The sequence below is a fragment of the Homo sapiens genome, chromosome 1 (assembly GCF_000001405.40).
Source record: "Homo sapiens chromosome 1, GRCh38.p14 Primary Assembly".
NCBI lineage: Eukaryota > Metazoa > Chordata > Mammalia > Primates > Hominidae > Homo > Homo sapiens.
Genome location: NC_000001.11, coordinates 183,448,904 through 183,472,226, shown reverse-complemented (window position 1 = coordinate 183,472,226; position 23,323 = coordinate 183,448,904). Strand labels below are relative to the sequence as shown.

Genomic DNA, 23,323 nt, shown 5'->3' with positions numbered 1-23,323 from the left:
TGTGCGGCTTCTGAGAGACCGGCTGGTGGCGCTTGGCGGCTTCCTGCCAATCCACCCTTCTCCTCCCGCGCAAGGGGGCAATCCCAATCCCACCACCGGGAACACCCAGGCCAAAAGAACGGGAGTTACACTCAAAGTCTTCCCCCTTCTTATCACTCCTGCCGATTTCCCTCTTCCTTTTTGCACGCCTCCACTCTTCCCCACCGGAAACGCCGCCCCTTCCTCCTACAGTTCCTCCCAGCAGTCCCTCAACGCCTGTCTTCCCTCGCGCGTAGAGAGTGACTCGAAGGACCCCCTCTCCTCTTCGCTGCAGCCCCTCCCCATGCACGCTGGGAGACTCTTGGAGGGGATAAGGTGGGGCCCGGAGAGGAAGAGAAGACAATCGGATTGGATAGGCAGCTGCCATGGCAACTGGAGGCTGTGGTTATATTGTCATAGTAACCGATGTGTGCGGACAGGGTCACCCTCCCCTTGGCCAATGGATTCCCAGGAAACCACCCAGGGTTCCCCGTTGGCTTCCCTTCCATCTAAAGGCCTCCCCCAAGTTAGGAATCGATATAGTTCTCCCCGGTGGTGAAGTCCACTTCCTCCTCCCTTCCCACTTCCCACAGCAACTGGGGGGACACCCCGAGGCATTCACCATGGGCTTTTCCACCCGCCTGCGAGCGGGAACCACCTCCGTAGTTTCCTCTCAGAGCCGGGCGTGGAGAGGGCTGGGCCTGCGAAGAGGATGCATGGCCTGGAGGCTGGCGGGCGGCGGGCTGGAGTCGGGAGGGCGAGGCGACAGCGCCAAGCGGCGAGGAAGGGCAAGGGGTTTCCCCACAACTGCCTTGGGCTCTGGGAGGCGGGATCCCGCCTGGACGGGGTCCCTGAGGGAGGAGAGCGGCACACGACAGCCGCGATGCCTTCCCTGCCGACGGGGATAGCCGACTTCTGGCGAGTCGACCCCTCCCCCAAATCCACCCCACCCGCGTACTCCCTCCTGACCTAGCTGTCGCGAGCCTGCCGCGAGGAGGCCAGGGTGAGGGTGGGAACACATCCTAGAAGGCTAACACGTGGTTTTCTATCATTTAAGCCGGGGACAAGCCGGAAGGCTGACTAGCGCCATCACTCTGATAGGCACCCCGCAGTGGGGATCCTGCTTGATTATTAAAGGCAGACCTCCAAGTTCCTCCCTGCTCTGCAACCTTTCTCTTCTCACGGGTCTGCAGTGTTTTAAAAGTCGTCATTCTGTGTCGTTGAGTTAGAGAGGAAAACATCGGATAAAAGAGGATCAAGAAGAACGAACCCTAGATACATCTGTCTGGTGAAAGGAGTCTAGGAAAAGAAGTTTCATTCTTAGAACAAATCTTTTTGGATATTTATTATGTGTGTTTTGTGTCAGGTTTCGGGCCAAAAAGCTGAAATAAAGAACGAAGTCAATAATAATATGAAGTGTATGAGAAATAGCTGGAAAATTCATCATCCATGACTTGAAGAAATTGACGTTTTACAAGTTATATTTTCGGTTCGTATTGTGGAGTCACTTAAGGAGCTATCCCAAAGTACTTTAGGATATGTAACTATATAAAACCTTCCAAGAATGCAGCCCTCATAGGATAGTTAAAATAAGGATTTTAATGGGCTATTTTGATTTGGTTTGGTCTGGTTTGGCTACCTGATTCCTGCTGTCTTTTTCTACGCCAGGTGAAGAGGCACTTTCAAGATCCTTCTCTGAGACCTGCACCAATAAGACTATACCAATGTTCAGTTGAAACATCAGGTATAAGTTTAGCGGAAACGAAAGTACAACCTGCTTTGAAATAAATTCCAAGGACAGATTGTCATTAACGAAATAGAAAGTGGACTATGCCCCTCATGCTGCCAGCGCCTGGTATGGTGCGGCGTGACACGCAGCGCTTGCGGCAGTACAATGCCCCCAATCACCCGCCCCGCCCCGACGCGCCGCCCACTCACGGCAAAGAGAGCCACCTAGTGAGGGATTATTCTCATTTCCGCGGTGGGGTTCTGCTTTTCTTTCTACCATGAGCGCCCAAGGATAGACACTCCTACTACCTATTACCTCAAATAGCCTACATTTCTTTCCGAAAATTTATTGGTTAGATATTTTTCTTTTTTTTTTTTAATTTAAAGACCAGTGTGATCGTGTATTGGTTAGATTTTTTAATTGGTTAGATTTCAACCAGAATAAAAATTGTAATAATTACCCCCTTACTAATCATGGTAATAGCCATTTATGTCTGTGGCACATATCTCCAATAAAGAGTGTATGAACAGTTATCATACATTCCTGATAAGCAATCTAGGAAAATATTACTACTATCTTCTCATTTTGGAAATAGAGAAACGGATCAGAAAGATGAATCCTTTTGTTAGTGTTTGCTGATTTATTCCATAAACATTTACTGAGTACTTATTATATTTCAGACACTGTTCTGGTTATGATGGACACCACAGTGAAAGAGACCTGGTCCCTGCCTTGAGGAAACCCAACTGCTGGTAGAGAGCTCAGAGTAATGATTAGGATGCAATATGAGGGATGCAGTAATTGGGGTAAGAACAAAGTAGGAACACATGAGGTCAGAAATAATAAAGTCTGTGTTTTATAGCAGCTTTCCTAAGAATCTTATAAGAGTCTTCAATAGCTTTACAATATCTCTAGCTAAATAGAAGAATAGTAGTATATTTTAGAGATTAGAAGACTTTGATACTAATATTAAAATTACCTTCAAAAATCAATAGGACTCAGAAAAATTATTACCTTCTATTTATATACTGTTTAATACACATTTTCCATTTTCATCTATTTCCACTTGTCCTAGTCAACAAACTTGTAGAATTACAAACATCTTTCTTTTTGCAATAGATATTGTTCACCTTTTCCCCCCTACAGATATAAGATCACATCTAAACCAAAAGAAATTAAAGAGAAGCTTCCTTACTTACATTAATCCTACCAGATTTTGTTTTTGGGTTTGTCTTTTTGGCTAAGTGATTTCATGGAAAGATCACAAGCTAACGGACCTGAGTATGCATTCTAACTCTGCCATCTTGGTGTCTGAACTTCAGTTTGCTCCTTGACCAAAATGGAAGCATTACCTGTTATAGGCTTCCTGTGACCTTTAATGATGACATACATGATTGAGTGCCCATTATACAACACTGAACTTGATAAACATTAAATTTTTTTCTGCCTTTTTGCTTTTTTTTTTTTTTTTTTTGAGACAGAGACTTACTCTGTCACCCAGGCTGGAGTGCAGTGGCACAATTTCAGCTCACTGCAACCTCTGCCTCCTGGGTTCAGGCAATTCTTGTGCTTCAGCCTCCCAAGTAGCTGGGACTACAGGTGTGTGCCACCACGCCCAGCTAATTTTTGTATTTTCAGTAGAGACAAGGTTCACCATGTTGGCCAGGCTGGTCTCAAACTCCTGACCTCAAGTGATCCACCTGCCTTGGCATCTCAAAGTTCTGGGATTACAGGTGTGAGCCACCTTGCCCAGTCCCTTTTGCTCTTTTATATCAAGCTAAAAAGAGTAAAATAGAACTACTACAGCATAACATTATTTTTTAAAATAATACTCTATCTAGTCTTTTTTTTTTTTAAATAGAGATGCAGCCTAACTGTATTGCCCAGGCTATCTATCTCTAACTCCTAGCCACAAGCAGTCCTCCCGCCTCAGCCTCACAAGTAGCTGGGATTTTAGGTGTGAATCACTGTACCCAGCTCTCAATCTAGTCTTTGTCTATAATACTCATAGGTCTGAACTCACATTCAAATCTATTGGCATCCAGTGCTAGAAGATAGATTTCTTTATTCATGACTGATTACAGAAAAGAACACAATATTAGGACATTGTGAGTCCAATGCTAGAGATTTAAAACTTTTCAAAAACCTTTTATCACATAAAACAGGCTAATATAACCACATTTCTGTCCAAGTAGATGGAATGGCCTCTTTTCAATCAAACACAGTACTTGCTGAGAAGCTACTCTTAACATTCTTACCAAATTTACCCAGAGCTTTGGTAACCTGACGATTAATACATAGCAGGCCTCCTCCCTTTTTATAATAATAGACAGCCTGTGCCATGACATCGTAACAAGCCCTAATTTATTTTAATATTTATCCTATATATTCTGAATGTTTATAAATCCTGTGCACAATTAGGAACTTGGTAAATCATTCTCATCAAAGCAGAAACACATTTATTATCAGTTGCATACTCAGTACACAATATGTGTGAAGCTAGCCATTCATTCCTCTTCAGTACCACACCTCAGACCATAGAGTTAAGTGATTCAATCAAATGAGTAATTCATTCTCTTCAAATAGTGAGTCAGATACAAATTGACATTTAAATTCAGGTCTCCTGTTGCTCAAGATTTCTTAGATCAAGGGTCAGTAGCCTTTTTCAAACAGTTTGCCAAGTGTATATTTATTCATTCACTCCAAAGAGGGAGTCTTTTAGCCTGAAGAATAGTCGGGAATCATTGCAGTCCAAGATTGAAGAAAAGAAACTTCTGATTTGGGAGGCACTGAGGTGACAGTTGGGGAATAATATTCAGAGCTTTCTCTCCCCCTTCACTTCTCCATTCTCCTAATATTTACTAAGGGAAATCTTACTATCTTCAAGGTTTCCCCCAACTCCCAATAAGCAAATACCTCTGAGAAATTACCACACCTAAAATTCTTATCTGCTGATTTAATGGACACAATCTGGAGAAGACAAGAAGAGATGCTCATAGGAAAGATTGAAAAGTATTGAAAAACAAAAACAAAAACCGTAGCCTCTCTTATTTTATTGGCAGAAGGCCTTAGTGTTCATGCATCTCTTTACTACCCGAAGCACAGTACTTACTGAAATCATCTTGTGGGTCCCTAATCTAACAGCAACATATTTCATGTCAAAGTCTGTTCAGTTACCTAGAAGTTGCCATATTTTTCTTAAAACACCCAACTAAAATAACATAATCTTTTAATATTTTCTAGTTTCTACTTTCCTAACTTTTATCAGGTAGATAGTAATTTGGAGCACTAAGAATGTGATACTGATATTCATTGTCATAAATCTGTTCTTCAAAACCATGGGAAACATGTACATGCATGTACACATGCACACACTGATATGGTTTGGCCCTATGTCCCTGCCCAAATCTGATCTCTATTTATAATCCCCACATGTTGACGGAGGGACCTGTAATCCCCACGTGTCCAGGGAGGGAGGTGATTGGATCATGGGGGTGGTTTCCCCCATGCTGTTCTCATGAGTGAGTGAGTTCTCACAAGATCTTATGTTTTTGTAAGTGTTTGGAACTTCCTCCTTTGTTTGTCTCTCCCTGCTGCCTTGTAAAGAAGGTCCATTTTTCCCCTTCCACCATGATTGTAAGTTTCCTGAGGCCTCCCCAACTATATGGAACTGTGAGTCAATTAAACCCCCTTTGCTTATAAATTACCCAGTCTCGGGTAGTATCTTTATAGCAGTGTGAAAACGAAATAACACACACCTTCCTCTTTTCCCTGACATTATTATTGTACCAATTCAATTGGCAATTCAAGTTAAAATGTGATAAAGATGAAAAGCAAAGAAACTTAGGACTTAGGTCCATCACTTCAAGGCATACTAAGAATATGCATCCAAGCACTTTTTTGCTTTGCTTAACAATCCCAGGGTCTTTTCTATTCTCAGAAAACTTTTACATATCAAAAACCTGGATAGTTTGTTCCATATATGTAAAAGTTCTTTCTTTTCTTTTTCTTTTTCTTTCTTTCTTTCTTTTTTTTTTTTTTTTTTTTTGAGACAGGGTCTTGCTCTGTTGCCCAGGCTGGAGTATAGTGGCATGATCACAGCTCACTGCAGCCTCAACCCCCGGGCTCAAGTAATTCCCCTGCCTCAGCCTCTCGAGTAGCTAGGACTACAGGCTTCCCTCACGATGCCCAGCTAATTTTTTTATTTTTTGTAGAAACAGCAGTCTCCCTATGTTGCCCAGGCTGGTCTCAAACTCCTGGGCTCAAGAACCTCCAGCCTTGGCTTCCCAAAGTAATGGGATTACAGGTGAGCCACCTCACCTGGTCATATTTGTTAAAATTCTTAATATTAGCCTGGCACAGTGGCAGGTGCCTATAATCTCAGCTACTCAGGAGGCTGAGCCAGGTGGATCACTTGAGCCAAGGAGTTTGGGGCCAGCCTGGGCAACATAGCAAGGCTCCATCTTAAAAACAATTCTTAATATTGTTGGGTTAAGATGTAAGAACACATTCTGGAACAAATTAAATAGTAAATTAATGTGTACGTATATTCCACATTTTAGCTATGTTAAGCTTTTTAAAAAGTTTTTTCCCCTGGCTTTAAGTCTCCATTGCTTTTCCATTACCCTTAGGATAAAGTTTCCAATCCTTATGATGACCTCTGTTCTGGTCTCTGCCTGCCTCTTCTCTGACAACCCTCCCCACCCCCTGGTATCACCACTCTAGCTATAGTGACCTTCTGCTAGGTCCTTGAATAAGCAGTGTTCTTTTCTTCTCGGAGCCTTTAGATAAGTTGTTCCCTCTATCTGGGTAATTCTTCTCCGCAGACTACTCTTATGTCTACCTATGCTTTAAGCCTAAATCTGAACTTCTTTGGACGAGCTTTCTCTACTTTCCAACCCCCAACCATTAGGCTAAGTTAGCTAAACTGGTTATATGTTCCCATAGCACTCTGCCCTTCTTTTTCATGGCATTTGTAAGTCTTTCATATTTGTAAATCTTTGTTTAATGTCTGTTACCTCCAATTGTAAGCTCTGTAAGAGTAGATGCTGTGCCTATTTTGCTTACTCTTGTATTATCACTTCCCTAGCAGAACACCAGATACAAGGAATGCTCAATAAATGTTCATTAAGTCAAGGAATTAAAAAACAAAAACCAAATTAATAGAAATTTGGGAGCTGGGCACAATGGCTCACACCTGTAATCTCAGCACTTTGGGAGGCCAAGGTGGAAGATTGCTTCAGCCCAGGAATTCGAGACCAGCCTGGGCAACATAGTGAGACCCCATCTCTAAAACAAAAAAAAAATTGGACCACGTATTCTTTAGAAGTAATCCTAAAGCAGTAAGAAAATAATTTTATTGGGCCTTCAACTAATCTCGGTAATTGAAATTGCTATTACATTTAACAAGATTAAAGTTGTAATTAAATGAAATATTTAAGCAATGAGTAAAATGCACAGTTATAAGATGAAGGATAACTCATCAGTTATCTCACAACAGCATCTCAGACTTTGATGTAGAAAAAGTCTTCAACGTCCAAATTATTTTTATTTAACTTTATGTTTTTAAATTTGAGATTAGGTGCAGTTAATTCTTTCATTATGTGGCAGGAGAGGGTGCTAGGGAAGGATGGCAAAAGAGAAGAGAGGCTATCAGCTAATTAGAATGTAATACAAAAAGTTACCTTTAAAATTTCGGAAAGAAAATTGGATCAGGGTGTAGAATGGAAAGCTCAGTGGTCTCTATTTTTCACCAGAGAAGTGTTTATAAATTCTAGCATTATTATTGTTAATTTTTTTGCCTGTAATGGGATAGGGCTAAGTAAACTGAATGTAGGATTTTAAGGAAAGGGCTATATCCAATTTCAAAGTAAATGTGATAATTATGTTTCTGGAGGCAGGTTCTGAATTCAATTCAATTAAATAAGGCATGTAACATATGTAAGCAGCCTGGCACTTAGTAGACACTCAACGAATGCTCTTACTTTATATAAAGGGTGAATAAGAACTGCATACACACTCTAATTAATGTAGGTTAAATGCACCTTTAAAAACAAATACAAACTGCTGTAGAGGTACACAGCATACTGCCTCAAAACTATATGACCAGTTTTATCATATGACCCTTCCTTCCTTCCTTCCTTCTTCTCTTTCTTTCTTTCTCTGTCTTTTCTTTCTTGCCCTGCCCTGCCCTCTCCTCCCCTCCCCTTCCCTCCCTTCCCCTTCCCTCTTCCCTCCCCTCCCCTCTCTTTTCTTTTCTTTACTTTTTTTCACTTTTCTTCCTCTCCTCTCTCCTCTCCTCTCCTTTCCTTTCTTTTTGACAGGGTCTCACTCTGTTGCCCAGGCAGGAGTGCAGTGGTGCAATCACGGCTCACTACAGCCTCAACCTCCTGGGCTCAAGTGATTCTCCCACCTCAAGCTCCCAAGTAGCTGGACTACAGGCATGTACCAGCATGCCCAGCTAAATTTTCTTTATTTTTGAGGTCTCACTGTGTCTGCCAGGCTGGTCATGAACTCCTGACCTCAAGTGATAAGTGATCCTCCCACCTCAGCCTCCCAGTGTGCTGGGGTTACAGGTGTGAGCCACCATGCCTGGCCAGTATAAATTCTTTAATCTATTTGTGAAGGATATCTCAGTTCATTAGCTGTTTTGTATTTGAATGAAATGAGAGCCAAGATCTGGTTCAAAGCTAAAGAGGATAAGGAGGCTTCTACGGAGCAAAACCAGCTGTTTATGCTTTCCCCTGCCCTCTTTCAAACTAACACCTCTGGAATGGCTTTGACTTGCATGCTGTTTCACTCTCGTGCTCTCTCAACCATTGGCTATAATGTTCCCATTATGGTCCTCCAAGTCATCCATTTCTTTGTCCAAGAGGACATGAATAGTTTTAATTTTTGTTGTTGTTGTTGTTGTTGTTTTGTTGTTGTTTTGAGACAGGGTCTCTCACTATCACCCAGGCTGTAGCGTAGTGGCATAATCACAGCTCACTGCAGCCTCAACCTGCCAGGCTCAAGCCATTCTCCCACCTCAACCTCCTGAGTACCTGGGGCTACAGGCACATGTCACCACGCCTGGCTAATTTTTGTATTTTTAGTAGAGATGGAGTTTCTTCATGTTTCTCAGGCTGGTTTTGAACTCCTGGGCTCAAGCAATCCACCTGCCTTAACCTCCCAAAGTGCTGGGATTACAGGCATGAGTCAATGCACCCCACCAGTTTTAGTTCTTTAACAATGTTCCTGTGGGTAAGACCAGGACTAGAGGGCATGCCAAATAACTGGAATGCCAACATTTCCAAAATACAGGCAGCAGTGGCCTAGATGTTACAGAAGGTTACCAGCTGTAGAAAGAAGCTGAAATTAATTTTCTCTAAGTATTTGAGGAACAGTCAAATTTCAGCATGAAAGCACTGTAGGAATGTTAGGTAGAATTGAGTTTAGTATCTATAGAGCATGTTCAATTGATGATGATCAATTCCCATCTTTCTCTGCTTTTTCAAGACAAATCTATATCGAAACTAAAATTTTACTTCTGGGAATCTTAATCTTGGTGTATCCTGCTACTATGGAGAAGTTTGATGAGCTGTGGATCCTCTAGAATTTTAGTATTTAGTAATTTATTCAGTCTTTCAGTCTTTTCATAAATAGAATTTTCATTGTATCAGGTCATATGCTAGTCATTAGGGTGAAAATGGTGAACAAACAGTCCTGCTCTCAGAGCTTAAGTTTAAAAGACAGTTAAGTAAAAGGGAAGTTATATTATAGAGTGACAAATGCCGTGGTAGAGGTCTTTGGAACCATTCCACTTGAGATCGAGTACAGGCATGCAATCAGATAATCCACGTAAGTGTCCCAGTCAACTGTAAAGTCCTTCAGAATGAGATTTTGCATAGTTTACTTGTTCACATTCTATTTCCCAGCAGGAAAAGGAATACATACAGCTCATCTACCAGAAAAGTGATGGAAAACCATGGCTAAAAGTATACTAAATTATGCCTGAAAGATACAAAACTATAGATGTAAAGTGCAACTATGAAATAGAATTACATAGAAAATGGTCATACATATAATAAAATGTTAATAGCAGCTATTTCTGAGGTAGACTACTTACGGTTGGCTTTAATTTCATACATTTTTCAACATTTTCTGCCAACCAAAAAGCAAAGTTGAGTTTATTATGGTTATTGTTGTTTTGGTGGTGGTTAGCATTGTTTTTAAAGAATGCCTGAACTTCTATATTATAGGAGTCTGAAAGTAACATTAGACATTGAAAAGGAAGCACATTAAAGATAAGTGTAGGGCCGGGAGCAGTGGCTCACGCCTGTAATCCCAGCTACTTGGGAGGCTGAAGCAGAAGAATTACTTGAATCCGGGAGGTGGAGGTTGTAGTGAGCCGAGATTGCGCCACTGCACTCCAGCCTGGGCAACAGAGTGAGACTGTCTAAAGGAAAAAAAAGAAAGAAAAAAGATAAGTGTAATAGCTTTTCACAACTGATGATTGAAAAAAACAATCTTGTTACAGGCAATTCCTATGGCTCTAATGCAGTATCAGGCACTAATACTTATGTATGAGCAAAAATTGATGAGGATGATCATGTTTTAATACACCAGTACAGACCAAAATGCCTCTTTGGTAATTTTCAGATCTACTTCTGGGAACCGTCACAGCCTGAGAAAGATGGCATGCCCTGAATGGAATTCACAGAGAATTATTTTAAGTAAAAGAAGTTTAAAGTTATATCTTAATTTGTCTTTATTTGCCATTTTGCCTTTTCTTACCTTTAAAATTATTTTCTGCCCCTCCCTCAACTCTAGGTCATGCTACTGGCCCCGCCCAGTTATGTAACAACTTGCATTTCCTCAATTCTCTGGAATGTGGCCAGTCAGGAACTTCCACATTTGGTTTTTTTTTTTTCCCCCATTTGTGGGTAAGAAAGTAAAAGAGGCAGGAAAACTGAATTGAGAAAGAAGAAAGAATAGGGGAAGAGAGAAAGAAAAAAGAAAACCATGAAGCCTGGAAGAGGAGAAAGAAGAGATAGATGAGCAAAGAAGCACATTGCCTGGTGGTAGTAATAGTTGTCAGACACCCATCTATTATAATCTGTTTTCCATGGGAGATTTTAAGAAGAGGCTAGATCCCCAGTCTGTCTTAAAATCAAGAAAAGGGACTCTGTTGCCTCTAAAGTATACTTCCAGACTCAGCAATCTCTAAATTCTGAGTGGGGCATCCCTAGTTTTGCTGCCTAAAATCTATGACAGTTGGAAATGATTCCATTTAAGATCCAGTTCAAGAAGCTATACACCCTGAGGAACTTTATATTGCCATTTAGAGGACCGATATTCTCCAGATTGCTTGAGCCCAGGAGTTTGAGACCAGCCTGGGCAACATGGCAAAACTCCATCTCTACCAAAAAAAAAAAAAAAACAAAATTAGCTGGGCATGGTGGTACACATCTGTAGAACCAGCTACTCTGGAGGCTGAGCTGAGAGAACCCCTTGAGCCTAGGAGATGGAGGTTGCTGTGAGCCAAGATCGTGCCACTGCACTCAAGCCTGGGTGACAGAGCCAGACCCTATCTCATAAATAAATAAATGTCAATATTCTCCAAAACAGATTGTATCATTTGAATTTGGACTTTGTGTACACTTGATACTACACTTAATCTTTGCCAAAAAGCCGAGAAGCAATGGACTTTGGGTACAAGGTGGAATATCACTCTACTCTCACCCATTTTAGTATGAGTGAAAATACCATTTAAAACAAAACAAAACAAAACAAAATAAGGTAGTCCAGACAGTTGTAAACTACTGTATATTCTGCAGAAAGTCCTCTTTTACCCCTCAGGTAAGCTTCAGATAGATAGCCAGAAACCTTTGAACTAAATCTAATAATCTCGTGTAAATTTTCATTTTCTCCTCTTTTTTTTTTTTGAGACGGATCTTGCTCTGTCATGCAGGCTGGAGTGCAGTGAGGTAATCTCAGTTCACTGCAACCTCTGCCTCCAGGATCCAAGCAATTCTCATGCCTCAGCCTCCCAAGTAGCTGGGATTACTGGTGCATGCCACCATGCCCAGTTCATTTTTTTGTATCTTTAGTGGAGACAGGGTTTCACCGTGTTGGCTAGGCTGGTCTCAAACTCCTGACCTCAAGTGATCTGCCCACCTTGGCCTCCCAAAGTGCTGGAATTACAGGCATGAGTCACCACACCCATTTGGTAGTACTAATTATGTTTTCTTTACCCAAATTATCTTTTACCTTGAATTTAATGATATTAAAAATCTTTTTTCATTCTACCACTTTAACCTCATGTTTTTTGGGGTTTTTTTGTTTTGTTTTTTTTTTTGTTTATGTTTTTTTTTTTGAGACAGGGTCTTACTGTGTTGCTGGGCTGGAGTGTAGTGCAGTGGCATGATCATGGCCCATTGCATCCTTGATCTCCTGGGATCAAGCAATCCTCCCACCTCAGCCTCTTGAGTAGCTGGGACCACAAGTGTGCACCACCACACCCAGCTAATTTTTTTATTTTGTGTAGAGATGGGGTTTCACCATGTTGCCCAGGCTGGTCTCAAACTCCTGGGCTCAAACAATCCACCCGCCTCAACTTCCCAAAGTGCTGGGATTACATGGGTGAGCCACCGTGCCCAGCCTAATCTCATCTTTAATTCATTATACTGCTATGGTTCTAGTGGTACTTAACAAATGTGTGACTATAGAAATTCCTTAAATGGAAATATAATGACAGAACTGGGTGATTTATTGGATGGGAAGGAATCAAGAAGACTCTCAGGTTTCTGCTTGAGAAATGGATGAAAATAGAAAATGTAAGAGAGAAGGAACAGGTTTGGAGAGGTGTATGGGATGTGGAGATAATGAATTTATTTTGGACATGCTGAACTACATTTGTCTGGGGTTGAGAAAACTTGTGTATCTGGAGAACATGAGAGAAATCTGTACTAGAGTTGTAGCTTTGGGAGTCATCAGCAGTTAGATAGTAATTAAAGCTACTTGTGTGGTTTTTAGAAAGCTTGCCTACAAAATGAATGAAAGATAGTTTTGTCTTATAAAGAGGTGGGAGACTTCAGCAGGAAAACATCCGATATAGAAAAATCAGGGATAGAGGCCAGCCAGGCATGGTGGCTCATGCTTGTAATCCCAGCACTTTGGGAGGCGGAAGCTGGAGGATCACTTAAGCCCAAGAGTTTAAGACCCACATGGGCAACAAAGCAAGACCCTCGTCTCCATAAAAAATAAAATAGGCCGGGTACGGTGGCTCAACACCTGTAATCCCAGCACTTTGGGAGGCCGAGGTGGGCAGATCACCTGAGGTCAAGAGTTTGAGACCAGCCTGGCCAACATGGTGAAACCCCATCTCTACTAAAAATACAAAAAAATTAGCTGGCTGTGGTGGTGCACACCTGTAGTCCCAGCTACTTGGGGAGGCTGAGGCAGGAGAGTCGCTTGAACCCAGGAGGTGGAGGTTGCAGTGAGCCAAGATCATGCCACTGCACTCCAGCCTGGGTGACAGAGGGAGACTCCATCTTAAAAATAAAATAAAATAAAATAACTTGGGCATGGTGGCATGCACCTATAGTCCCAGCTACTGGGAAGGCTGAGGTGGGACGATCTCTTGAGCCCAGGAATTCGAGGCTACAGTGAGCTATGATCATGCTACTGTACTCCAGCCTGGGAGACAGAGCAAGACTCTGTCTCAAAAAAAAAAAAAAGAGGGAGAGAGAGAGGTAGATAAGAGTGAGGCCTCTGGGGAAATGAGAAAAAGTAGATTCCAGAACATAAATGCAGAGAGGAAAATCTCTTCTCTGGTAGAATAATAATGAGATGTAATTGTGGGGTTTTCCTCCACACACCTTTTCTTACACCCCTTCCCTACTGGATTTCAAAACTTAAGGTTACAAAAATGCATAGACTTTGAAAAAATTTAGGATAAAGACTAATTTAAGAGCAAGAGTTTCAGTACCAGAATATATTGTTTTAATGTCTCTAATTGTCGTATACATTAAGTCAGTGAGGAGAGCAAGAAACAGGGGGTTTTATACTCTGCCTCTACCTGAGCCAGAAGCCCTGTGATTTAGAGATTCCAAATAGATTTCTGGCATTTGAGAATACAAGAAGCCTGAATCCATATTACTAAGGAAAGCCAAAAAAGGTAGCAAGACCAGAGTTCCCCACATCCAGAATGTCATGGGAAAATGGTCAAAATGGTTTTGTGGAGCTCACACTTTGAATTTCTACATCTTCTCCAAGAACTTCAATAATAAAATTTAATTAAAAATTAAAAGACATCTCTGGGTTCATTAACAAAACAATCATCTCTGGGCATCAAAATGAAAGACCAGCCAGGCACAGTGGCTCATGCCTGTAATCTCAGCACTTTGGGAGGTCGAGGCAGGTGGATCACCTGAGGTCAGGAGTTCGAAACCAGCCTAGCCAACATGGAGAAACCCTGTCTCTACAAAAATTCAAAAATTAGCCGGGTGTGAGGGCACACACCTATAATCCCAGCTACTGGGTAGGCTGAGGCAGGAGAATCGCTTGAACCCAGGAGGCGGAGGTTGCAGTGAGCCAAGATTGCACCACTGCACTCCAGCCTGGCCGACAGAGTGAGACTGCATCTTAAAAAAAAAAAAAAAAAAAAAAGACCAACACAACTGGTTTAGTGGGGGCTACAGCTACAGCCTCGATGATCTTCTGAGTATGGAAGCTGGTAGAAGTTTTCTAGGAGTTTGAATCCTTCCCAGTAGTGGAGATCAAAGGCACCCCAAACATGGTAGGGCACCTTAGTCAGGTTCATTGTGAAACTGAAATTTGGGAAAAACTGTGACTTCTACCCTGGGCTAGAGTTTAAAAAACAAAGCAAACAGAAAACAACAAAAACTGCTTAGTTATGGTGGTGAAAGGAAACAAACTAGCACACACAAGACTTAGGCTAACCTACCTTGAGGCTCAGGAGGCAGAACTGAAGGACACATCCTGAGACACATAGCCAGGGGGTCTCAGGTCTACATGGACGCAACGCTAAAACAGGAAACCAACGGAATAAGTTAAAAAAAAGGAAAAACTATCACTCTAGATGACCTGCAAATTACAATTTGTACACAAGGAAAACAATACTAAAAACATCTGCCAACTTTCAATTTAGTTTCTGTTTAATTGATCTGTGAATTTCTAAAAAGACATATTTAAATTTTCCAATATAGCACCTGGGCTTGGTGGCATGGACCTATAGATCCAGCTACCCAGGGGGCTGAGGTGGAAGAATCCATTGAGCCCAGAAGTTTCAGCCTAGCCTGAGCAACACAGTGAGAACTTGTTTAAAAAAAAAATTTTTTTTAATTTCAATATAGTGTTGATGTACTAATTTTTGGTGTAATTCTGTTAGTTTTTGTTTTATATCATGGTTATATGGTCAGCTAGATAGAACTTGGCAATTTTTAATTTTTATTATTACGTAATGTTTTTATCCTTATTAATACTTTTTGCTTTATACTATTTTTGTCTGCTACTGATATTAAACTTCAACTTTCTTTTGTTTAGCATTTGCTTGCTATAACTTTTACCTTTATTTTTAACCTTTTCTATGTTATTTTATTATGGCCACATCTTTTGTATGTGGCATATAGCTGATTTTTTGTTGTTGTTTTTAATCCTGACAGTCTGTTTTTAACTGAAAAGTTCAATTTATATGAGTAAGATCTATTTGAATTTATCTCTACCAATGTCTACTTTTGATGTCTACCAATGTATTTATTTATTTTTTTTTTGAGAGGAAGTCTCATTCTGTCGCCCAGCCTGGAGTGTAGTGGCATGATCTCAGCTCACTGCAACCTCTCCCTCCTTGGTTCAAGTGATTCTCCTGCCTCAGCCTCCCAAGTAGCTGGAACTACAGGCACGTGCCACTGTACCTGGCTACCTTTTGTATTTTTAGTAGAGACAGGGTTTCGCCATGTTAGCCAGGCTGGTCTTCAACTTCTGACCTTAGGTGATCAGCCCGCCTTGGGATCCCCAAAGTGCTGGGATTCCAATATACTTTTGATTTTCTGTTCGCAATGATTTCTCTTTTTTTTTTTTTTTTTTTGTGGTTGTTGTTGTTTGTTTGCCTCTCTTGCCTTTGTTGGATTGATAACTTTTGAAAATTCCCTTGCTTTTACCTCTATTTGAAGTGGGTTATATTTTGTCTGTTCTTTCAGAAGCTACTGTTAAAATTTTGACATGCATGCTTAACCATTTATTTTCCTAACGATTTCTAAAGTTTTTGTTGTTGTTGTTGTTGTTGAGATGGAGTCTCACTCTGTCGCCCAGGACGGAGTGCAGTGGCGCCATCTTAGCTCACTGCAAGCTCCGCCTCCAGGTTTCACGCCATTCTCCTGCCTCAGCCTCCTAAGTAGCTGGGACTACAGGCTCCCACCACCACGCCCGGCTGATTTTTTGTATTTTTAGTAGAGACGGGGTCCCACCGTGTTAGCCAGGATGGTCTCGATCTCCTGACCTCCTGACTTCGTGATCCGCCCGCCTCGGCCTCCCAAAGTGCTGGAATTACAGGCGTGAGCCACCGCGCCCAGCGGATTTCTAAAGTTTTTTAAAGTCAGTTATCCTCCAGCCCCAAGACTGCTTTATCTACCTAATGTATTGGGAGTCATTGTTATCTAGAATTTTAGTTCCATATTTATCAGAACATAAAACTGTTACTATAAAATCAATGTGTAATTTGACTTAACATAATTTATCAATTTTTGTTTTTACCATTTGTTTCTTTAATACGATGCTTTCATTCTGAATTCACTTTTCTTCTTGCTACAATGCATCTTTTAGTAGCTCTTTCAATAAAAATGTATGCTTGTTAAAGTCAGTTTTAAAGAAAAGTTTTCTATTTCATTATTCTTGAATTGTCACTTAGCTGGATATAGAAACCTATGTTGCCAATTATTTTCATCTCAGTCCTTTGGTGATATTATTGCATTGGCTTCTCGTTTCTATTGCTGCTAATGAGAAGTTTGGTGTCTAATTGTCATTTTTTTTTTTGAGATGGAGTCTTGCTCTGTCACCCAGGCTGGAGTGCAGTGGTGCAATCTCGGCTCACTGCAACCTCCGCCTCCTGGGTTCAACCAATTCTCCTCCCTCAGCCTTCCGAGTAGCTGGGATTACAGGCGCCCGCCACCATGCCCGACTAATTTTTGTATTTTAAGTAGAGACGGGGTTTCACCATGTTGGCCAGGCTGGTCTCAAACTCCTGACCTCATGATCCTCCCGCCTCAGCCTCCCAAAGTGCTAGGATTACAGGCATGAGCCACCACGCCCAGCCTAATTGTCATTCTTTTATGGGTTATCTGTGTTTTCTCTTTGGGGTGGCTTTTAAAATTTGCCCTTTATCCTTAATGTTAGGTGTCTTCACTACAGTACATCGAAGTATGAATTTGTTTTCATTATTTTGCACTTAATATGCAACTTCACTTTTTAAAAATTCTCTGTATCATCTCTACAAATATTATTTCCAGCATTCATTTTATTCCCTTTCTGAAATTACTATTAGATGCATCCTTCGTGTGTTCTGTCTATATATTGCTATGTAACAAACACACCACTCTAAAACATAGTGCCAAGAAGCAATAACTATTAATATTGTATTATGCTCACAGATTCTGCACCATAGATATTTGAAACAGGTACATCAGGGATAGCTTGACTCTATTTCAGGATATCCAGGGTGTCAGATGAGAAGACTTGAACAGTGGGTGGTCACTTGAATGACTGGAGGATTTTTTACTCACCTGCCTCTGGGCTAGAGGGACAGAGGTGGCACTCTGCTGGGACTGTAGATTGGAATGCCTACACATGACTTCTCCATGTGGTTTCGGTTTCCTCACATCATAGTGGCCTCAGGGTAGTCAGACTTCTTACATGGTAGCCCAGGGCTCCAATAGTGAGTGTTTTGGCAAACAAGGTGGAATGCATGAAATTTTATTGCCTAGCCTCACAAGTCATATATAATGTCATTTCCACCTTTACTTAGTCACAAGCTCACCCGGTTTGGGAATGTGGGAACTAGACCCACCTCTTAATGGGAGGAGTATCAAAGAATTTGTGGCCATGATTTGAAACTGCCACAATATGTCTTTTCTTTGATATCATGCTGAATTTTGGGTCATTTCTTTACTTTCACTATTCAATAATTGTTTCTCTGAGCAGTTTAGAGTTTGTCTCAAACTCCCAGCTCAAGCAGTCCTCCTACCTCAGCCCCCTGAATAGCTGGGACTACAGATGCATGCCACCATGCCTGGCTAATTTTTTAAAAATTTTTTGTAGGGACGGGGTCTCCCTATATTGCCCAGGCTGGTCTCGAACACCTGGGCTCAAGCAGTCCTTCTGCCTCTGCCTCCCAAAGTGTTAGGATTACAGGCATGAGCCACCATGCCTGGCCTCCATTTTCCTATGTAATTATTTTTCACATTTATCTTTACTTTATTCATGTCTTTTGTGTTTGTTTCTTAACCTTTGATTCTTTTTTATTTCTTTATCTTATTGAATGTATTTATTTTAAAGTCAGTTTAAAATCTGGATTTCTATTTCAGTGGGAATGGATCATCTCCAGGAAATGAAAGATTTCTGTAATATCTATCTATATACATAGGTAAAAACCCTCCACCCAACAAATAGATATTCTTTTCAAACACACATTAAACATTTATATAATTTGAGCACATACCAGGCCAGCTATTTCAAAAATCACCACAGTACAGACTATATTCTCTGACCAAAATTTAGTAAAGTTAGAAATCAATTTTACTAAGTTTGAAACTTAATGACAGACTCATAAATAACTCATGACTTAAAAATAAAAACCATTTAGAAAAGGGTAACAAAGAAAATACTGCATGGAACAACTTGTATAATGCAAGTAACTCAGTCATTTGAAAGAAATGTATGGTATGAAATGCATTTATTAAAAATGATTTCAAGTAAATGAGCAAACACCTACCCCTAGAATCTGGAAAATGAACAGAGTCATTTCAAAAAACAAAAAAAGGCCGGGCATGGTAGCTCACGCCTGTAATCCCAGCACTATGGGATGCCGAGCTGGGCGCATCATTTGAGGTCAGGAGTTCAAGACCAGCCTGACCAACATGGTGAAACCCCATCTCTACTAAAAATACAAAAAAATTAGCTGGGTGTGGTGGTGCACGCCTGTAGTCCCAGATGCTTGGGAGGCTGAGGCAGGAGAATCACTTGAACCCGGGAGGTGGAGGTTGCAGTGAGCCAAGATTGTGCCACTGTACTCCAGCCTGGGTGACAGAGCAAGACTCTATCTCTAAAAAAAAAAAAAAAAAGAAAGAAAAAAAAAGTAAAATTGATTAAGAAATTCAAAAGTGGGTTCTTTGAGGAAACCAATAAAATAAATAAACCTTTAACAAGCCACATTGAAAAGAAGATAGCATAAATAAGCAATATGAGGAATTCAAAGAAGAATATAGATATATATATAGTAGAGTAGAAATTAAAAATACTGGTTATGCCAGAAATTTTGTAATATTGTGTGATCTTATGTCAGTAAATTGAAAACTGAGGTGAAATCCACAACTTACCAGAAAAATATAAATTTAAGAGTTAACTCTAGAAGAAATATAAAATCTGAATAAATCAAGCATCATAAAGATAATAGATCAATAGTCAAAAGTCTCCCAATAGTCTCCTCCCAGTCATCCTTCCATCCCTTGCCAAAGAAGCCAGGCCAGATGGTTTTACAGGTGAATTTTATCAAATTTCATGGAACAGACTATACTAACTCGCACAAACTATTTTAGACAAGAAGAGTAAAGGCTACCCGGTTTCTTTTACAAAGTTAATATAATCTTGATACCAAAATAGGACAACTCTATAGACAAAGAAAATTACAGATGAATCTCACTTTTTAACATTGACACGAAAATCCTAAATAAAATAATTATGAAATCAAATCCAACAAAGTATACAAAATAATACATCAGGTACAACTAAAATTTGCCCCAAATGTAAAGATGGTATTATGATTTTAAAATCTATCTGTAATCTACCTTATTACCAGATTAAGGTGAAGACCCATATGCTCATCTCAATGGATACAAACAAAGCATTAAAAATTTAAGAACTATAATTTAAAACAAAATGTCTTAATTAACTAGAAATATTAACTTCATGAGGGTATATATGAAGCATCTATAACGTATTTAATTATGAGACTATAGAAGGATTCCTATAGAGTCAAGAATATAGCAAGCCTGCTGAAACCTCTATAATTAAACATCATACTACAAGTTCTAGTCCCTGTATTTATGAAAAGAGAAAAAGAGGTATTCAGTGATTAGCAAAGAAGAATAAAAATATGTGTGCACAGCATCATTTCTTAGCCAGAAACTCCAAGAGGCTCTATAGGAAAAAAAATTAGAATGACTAAGTGTTGAGTATGGTTAAATGCATGATCGATGTGAAAAATCAATAGCAATCCTATATACCTAAGTAATAGGAAATCCATACACCTATGTAATGAGAGGAAAAGATCACATTTATACTTGCAACAGAAATAATAAGATACTTAGGAACAAATCTAACACAAGTGTGCAAAACCTTTATGAAAAATGTTATAAATAGCAAAGGGCAAAAAAGAGATTGTAATAAAAAATATGTAATATGTAATACTAAATTCACAGAACAGAAAATCAATGCTATAAGAAGTATGATTCTCCACAATTCAGTGCAATTTCAATCAAATTCTTAACAACATTTTTTTGTGGAACTTGACAAGCTGATTCTAAAGTTACTTATAGAAAGAATAGTTTTAAGAAGAGCCAAGACAATTCTAAAAAAATTAAGAAAGTGTAATTTGCCTTTCCAGAAAGGAAGGTTCCTTGTAGAACTGTAGTAATTAAATAGTACAGTGGTTGTAATATGAAGAAAAGCTCTGAGGTAGACACATGTAAATATGAGACCTTGACATATGATAGAGGAAACATTATAAACCTAGTGGGTTTGGGGAATACTGACTTTCTATACTAAAAAAAAGAAAAAAATATTAGATCCCTTTCTTATACCTTATACCAGCAATTCTCAAGCTTTTGGGTCTCAGGACTTCTTTATACTCTTTTTTTGAGACAGAGTTTCGCTCTGTTGCCCAGGCTGGAGTGCAATGGAGTGATCTCAGCTCACTGCAACCTCTGCCTCCTGGGTTCAAGTGACTCTCCTGCCTCAGCCTTCTGAGAAGCTGGGATTGCAGTCATGCGCCACCACACCTGGCTAATTTTGTATTTTTAGTAGAGATGGGGTTTCTCCATGTTGGTCAGGCTGGTCTCGAACTCCTGACCTCAGGTGATCCACCCAACTCAGCCTCCCAAAGTGCTGGGATTACAGGCATGAGCCACTGCGCTCAGCCTATACTCTTAAAAATTACTGAAGGTCCCATAGAGCTTTTGTTTATGTGGGTTATATCTGTCAATATCATATTAGAAATTAAAACTGAGAAATCTGTAAAACACATTAACAGATAAGCACACATTCTATTAGGCATCAGAGTGATGACATCATTATATGTTGTGTAGCCTCTGGAAGACTCCACTGTTCATGAAAGAATGAGAGCAAAAAAGACAAATAACATTTTAGTATGATTATGAAAATAGTTTTGACTTTCTAGGGCTCCTGAAAGGGTCTTGGGGACTCTACAGGTATCCCCCCACTACAGTTTGGGAGCCTCTGGTATAAACTGAATTCCAGATGGAAAAGATCTAAACCTGGAACAAAGTAAAAACTTCATAACTATTAGAAGAAATTATAGGAGAACACACTTCATGATCACAGGGGAAGGAAGGATTACTTAAATGTAACATCAAAAGCACAAATTATGAAGGAAAAACCTAATAAATTTGAACACTCCAAATTTAGTACCTCTGTTTGATAAAATATCCCATAAACAAAATTAAAAGGAATGCCACAGTCTGGGAGAAGATAATTGTAACATATATTAAACAAAAGATTAGTATTCAGAAAACATATATTACTTTTGTAAATAAGAGAAAGATAATCTAATAGAAAATGAAGTAAAAAAAAATATGCTCAACCTCACTCTAGTAATCAGATAAATACAAATCAAAACATCCATGAGATTGGTGACTCTAAGTCTGGCAATGTCATGTGTTGGCAAGGATACAGGGAAATGAAAAAAATCTTACTTTCTGTTGAGATGTAAATTGATACAACTACTTAGGAGAGCAATTTGGAAATACGTTGCCTAGTTGAAAATGCAAACATTCTAATGATCCAGAAACGTCTATAATTTAGAAAAAAAGGTTGAAAACACATATAAGGAAACATTTATTCATGTATTTATTGAATAAATATTTATCAAGTTCCTATATAAACCAGCATTATACGAGGCTATGGGAATAAAATGATGAACAAGACTGTTCTCATGAAGTTGAGACAAACTTATGAATAAACACATATATCACGTCAGGCAGGGTAAAGGGATAGGGGCTGGAAGTACTATTTTAGGTAAGATGGACAGGGAGGGCCTCCCTGAGGTGAATTTGAGGAAACTTAGAGAAGTGAGGGAACAAGATCTGTGTTTATGTTCTAAGGAAAGTGCACTTCAGGCAAGAAGGAATGGCAGAAATGTGCTTGAAACACTGGAAGAAAGGAAGAAGGCCCATGAGGTGGAGTGGAGTTAGTGACTGGAAAGTGGCAAGAGATGAATCTGGAAGATAGGCAAAGGCTACATCACATAAGGCCTTCAGGCCAAGGTAAGGAGTTTGGACTTTTTGGCGGAACGAGAAGCCATTGGAGGGTTTTGCGCAGGCATACCGTATTAGTCCGTTTTTACACTGCTGATAAAGACATACCTGAGACTGGGCAATTTACAAAAGAAAGGTTTATTGGACTTACACTTCCACGTGGCTGGGGAGGCCTCACAGTCATGGCAGAAAATGAAAGTCACATCTCACATGGCAGCAGACAAGAGAAGACTGAGCTTGTGCAGGGAAATTCCCGTTTTCTAAAACCATAAGATCTCGTAAGACTCATTCACTATCACGAGAACAGTGGAAGAAAGACCCGCCCCCATCATCCAATCACCTCCCACCGAGTTCCTTCCACAACACATGGGAATTGTGGGAGTTATAATTCAAGATGAGATTTGGGTGGGAACACGACCAAACCATGTCAGATACTATTGATCGAAAGTGCATTCTTAAAAGGCCACTCTGGCTGTTCTGTGTAGAAGAGACTGTAGGGTGTAGTATTATTAGAAAACAATTGCAATCATAGGAAAGTGATGTTGGTCACTTGGATTGGTTGAAAGTGTTGAGAAGTGGTTGGATCCAGAATATATTTTGAAGCCAAAACAGACAACTTGATGGGGATTTGAGATGTGAGGAAAGGGGTTCAAGGATGACTGAAGTTTTTGGCGGAGCACCTAGGCCCAGTGCCTGGTGATGTCATTTACTGTGAGAGAGACTACTATACAGTGAAAAAGGATAGGAAGGGATAGTTGTTGCAATATTTGTTTGTATCAACAAAACACTAGAAACAACCCAAGAATGAATG

General features: G+C 40.1%; 2 long non-coding RNA genes across 4 annotated transcripts in view, besides 2 other annotated features; one reads left to right on the top strand and one right to left on the bottom strand.

Moving 5' to 3' along the window:
- Positions 46–677: an enhancer, noted in NCBI's record as "NANOG-H3K27ac-H3K4me1 hESC enhancer chr1:183440685-183441316 (GRCh37/hg19 assembly coordinates)". NCBI's record gives its function as "activates a minimal SCP1, AML or CMV promoter by ChIP-STARR-seq in primed H9 embryonic stem cells {active_cell/tissue: H9 hESC(primed)}" and the evidence as "EXISTENCE:reporter gene assay evidence [ECO:0000049][PMID:30033119]".
- Positions 245–11,353, top strand: SMG7-AS1 (SMG7 antisense RNA 1). Its single transcript, NR_040063.1, has 5 exons — positions 245–1,507; positions 1,687–1,762; positions 2,428–2,553; positions 10,266–10,461; positions 10,559–11,353. It is a non-coding gene; the product is annotated as an SMG7 antisense RNA 1 (long non-coding RNA).
- Positions 1,863–2,052: a silencer, noted in NCBI's record as "silent region_1630". NCBI's record gives its function as "represses an Ori minimal core promoter by ATAC-STARR-seq in GM12878 lymphoblastoid cells {active_cell/tissue: GM12878}" and the evidence as "EXISTENCE:reporter gene assay evidence [ECO:0000049][PMID:35858748]".
- Positions 9,344–23,323, bottom strand: part of LOC105371646 (uncharacterized) — a 28,994-nt gene continuing 15,014 nt past the window's right edge. For 2 of the 3 annotated variants that reach the window (XR_922351.2, XR_922350.2), the window contains 2 exons: positions 14,697–14,776; positions 9,344–10,184 (listed from right to left, as the gene is read on the bottom strand). This is a non-coding gene — a long non-coding RNA (uncharacterized LOC105371646). Of the gene's footprint in view, positions 10,185–14,696; positions 14,777–22,663; positions 22,773–23,323 lie in introns of all 3 variants that reach the window. The other variant, XR_007066764.1, reaches the window with a different exon arrangement.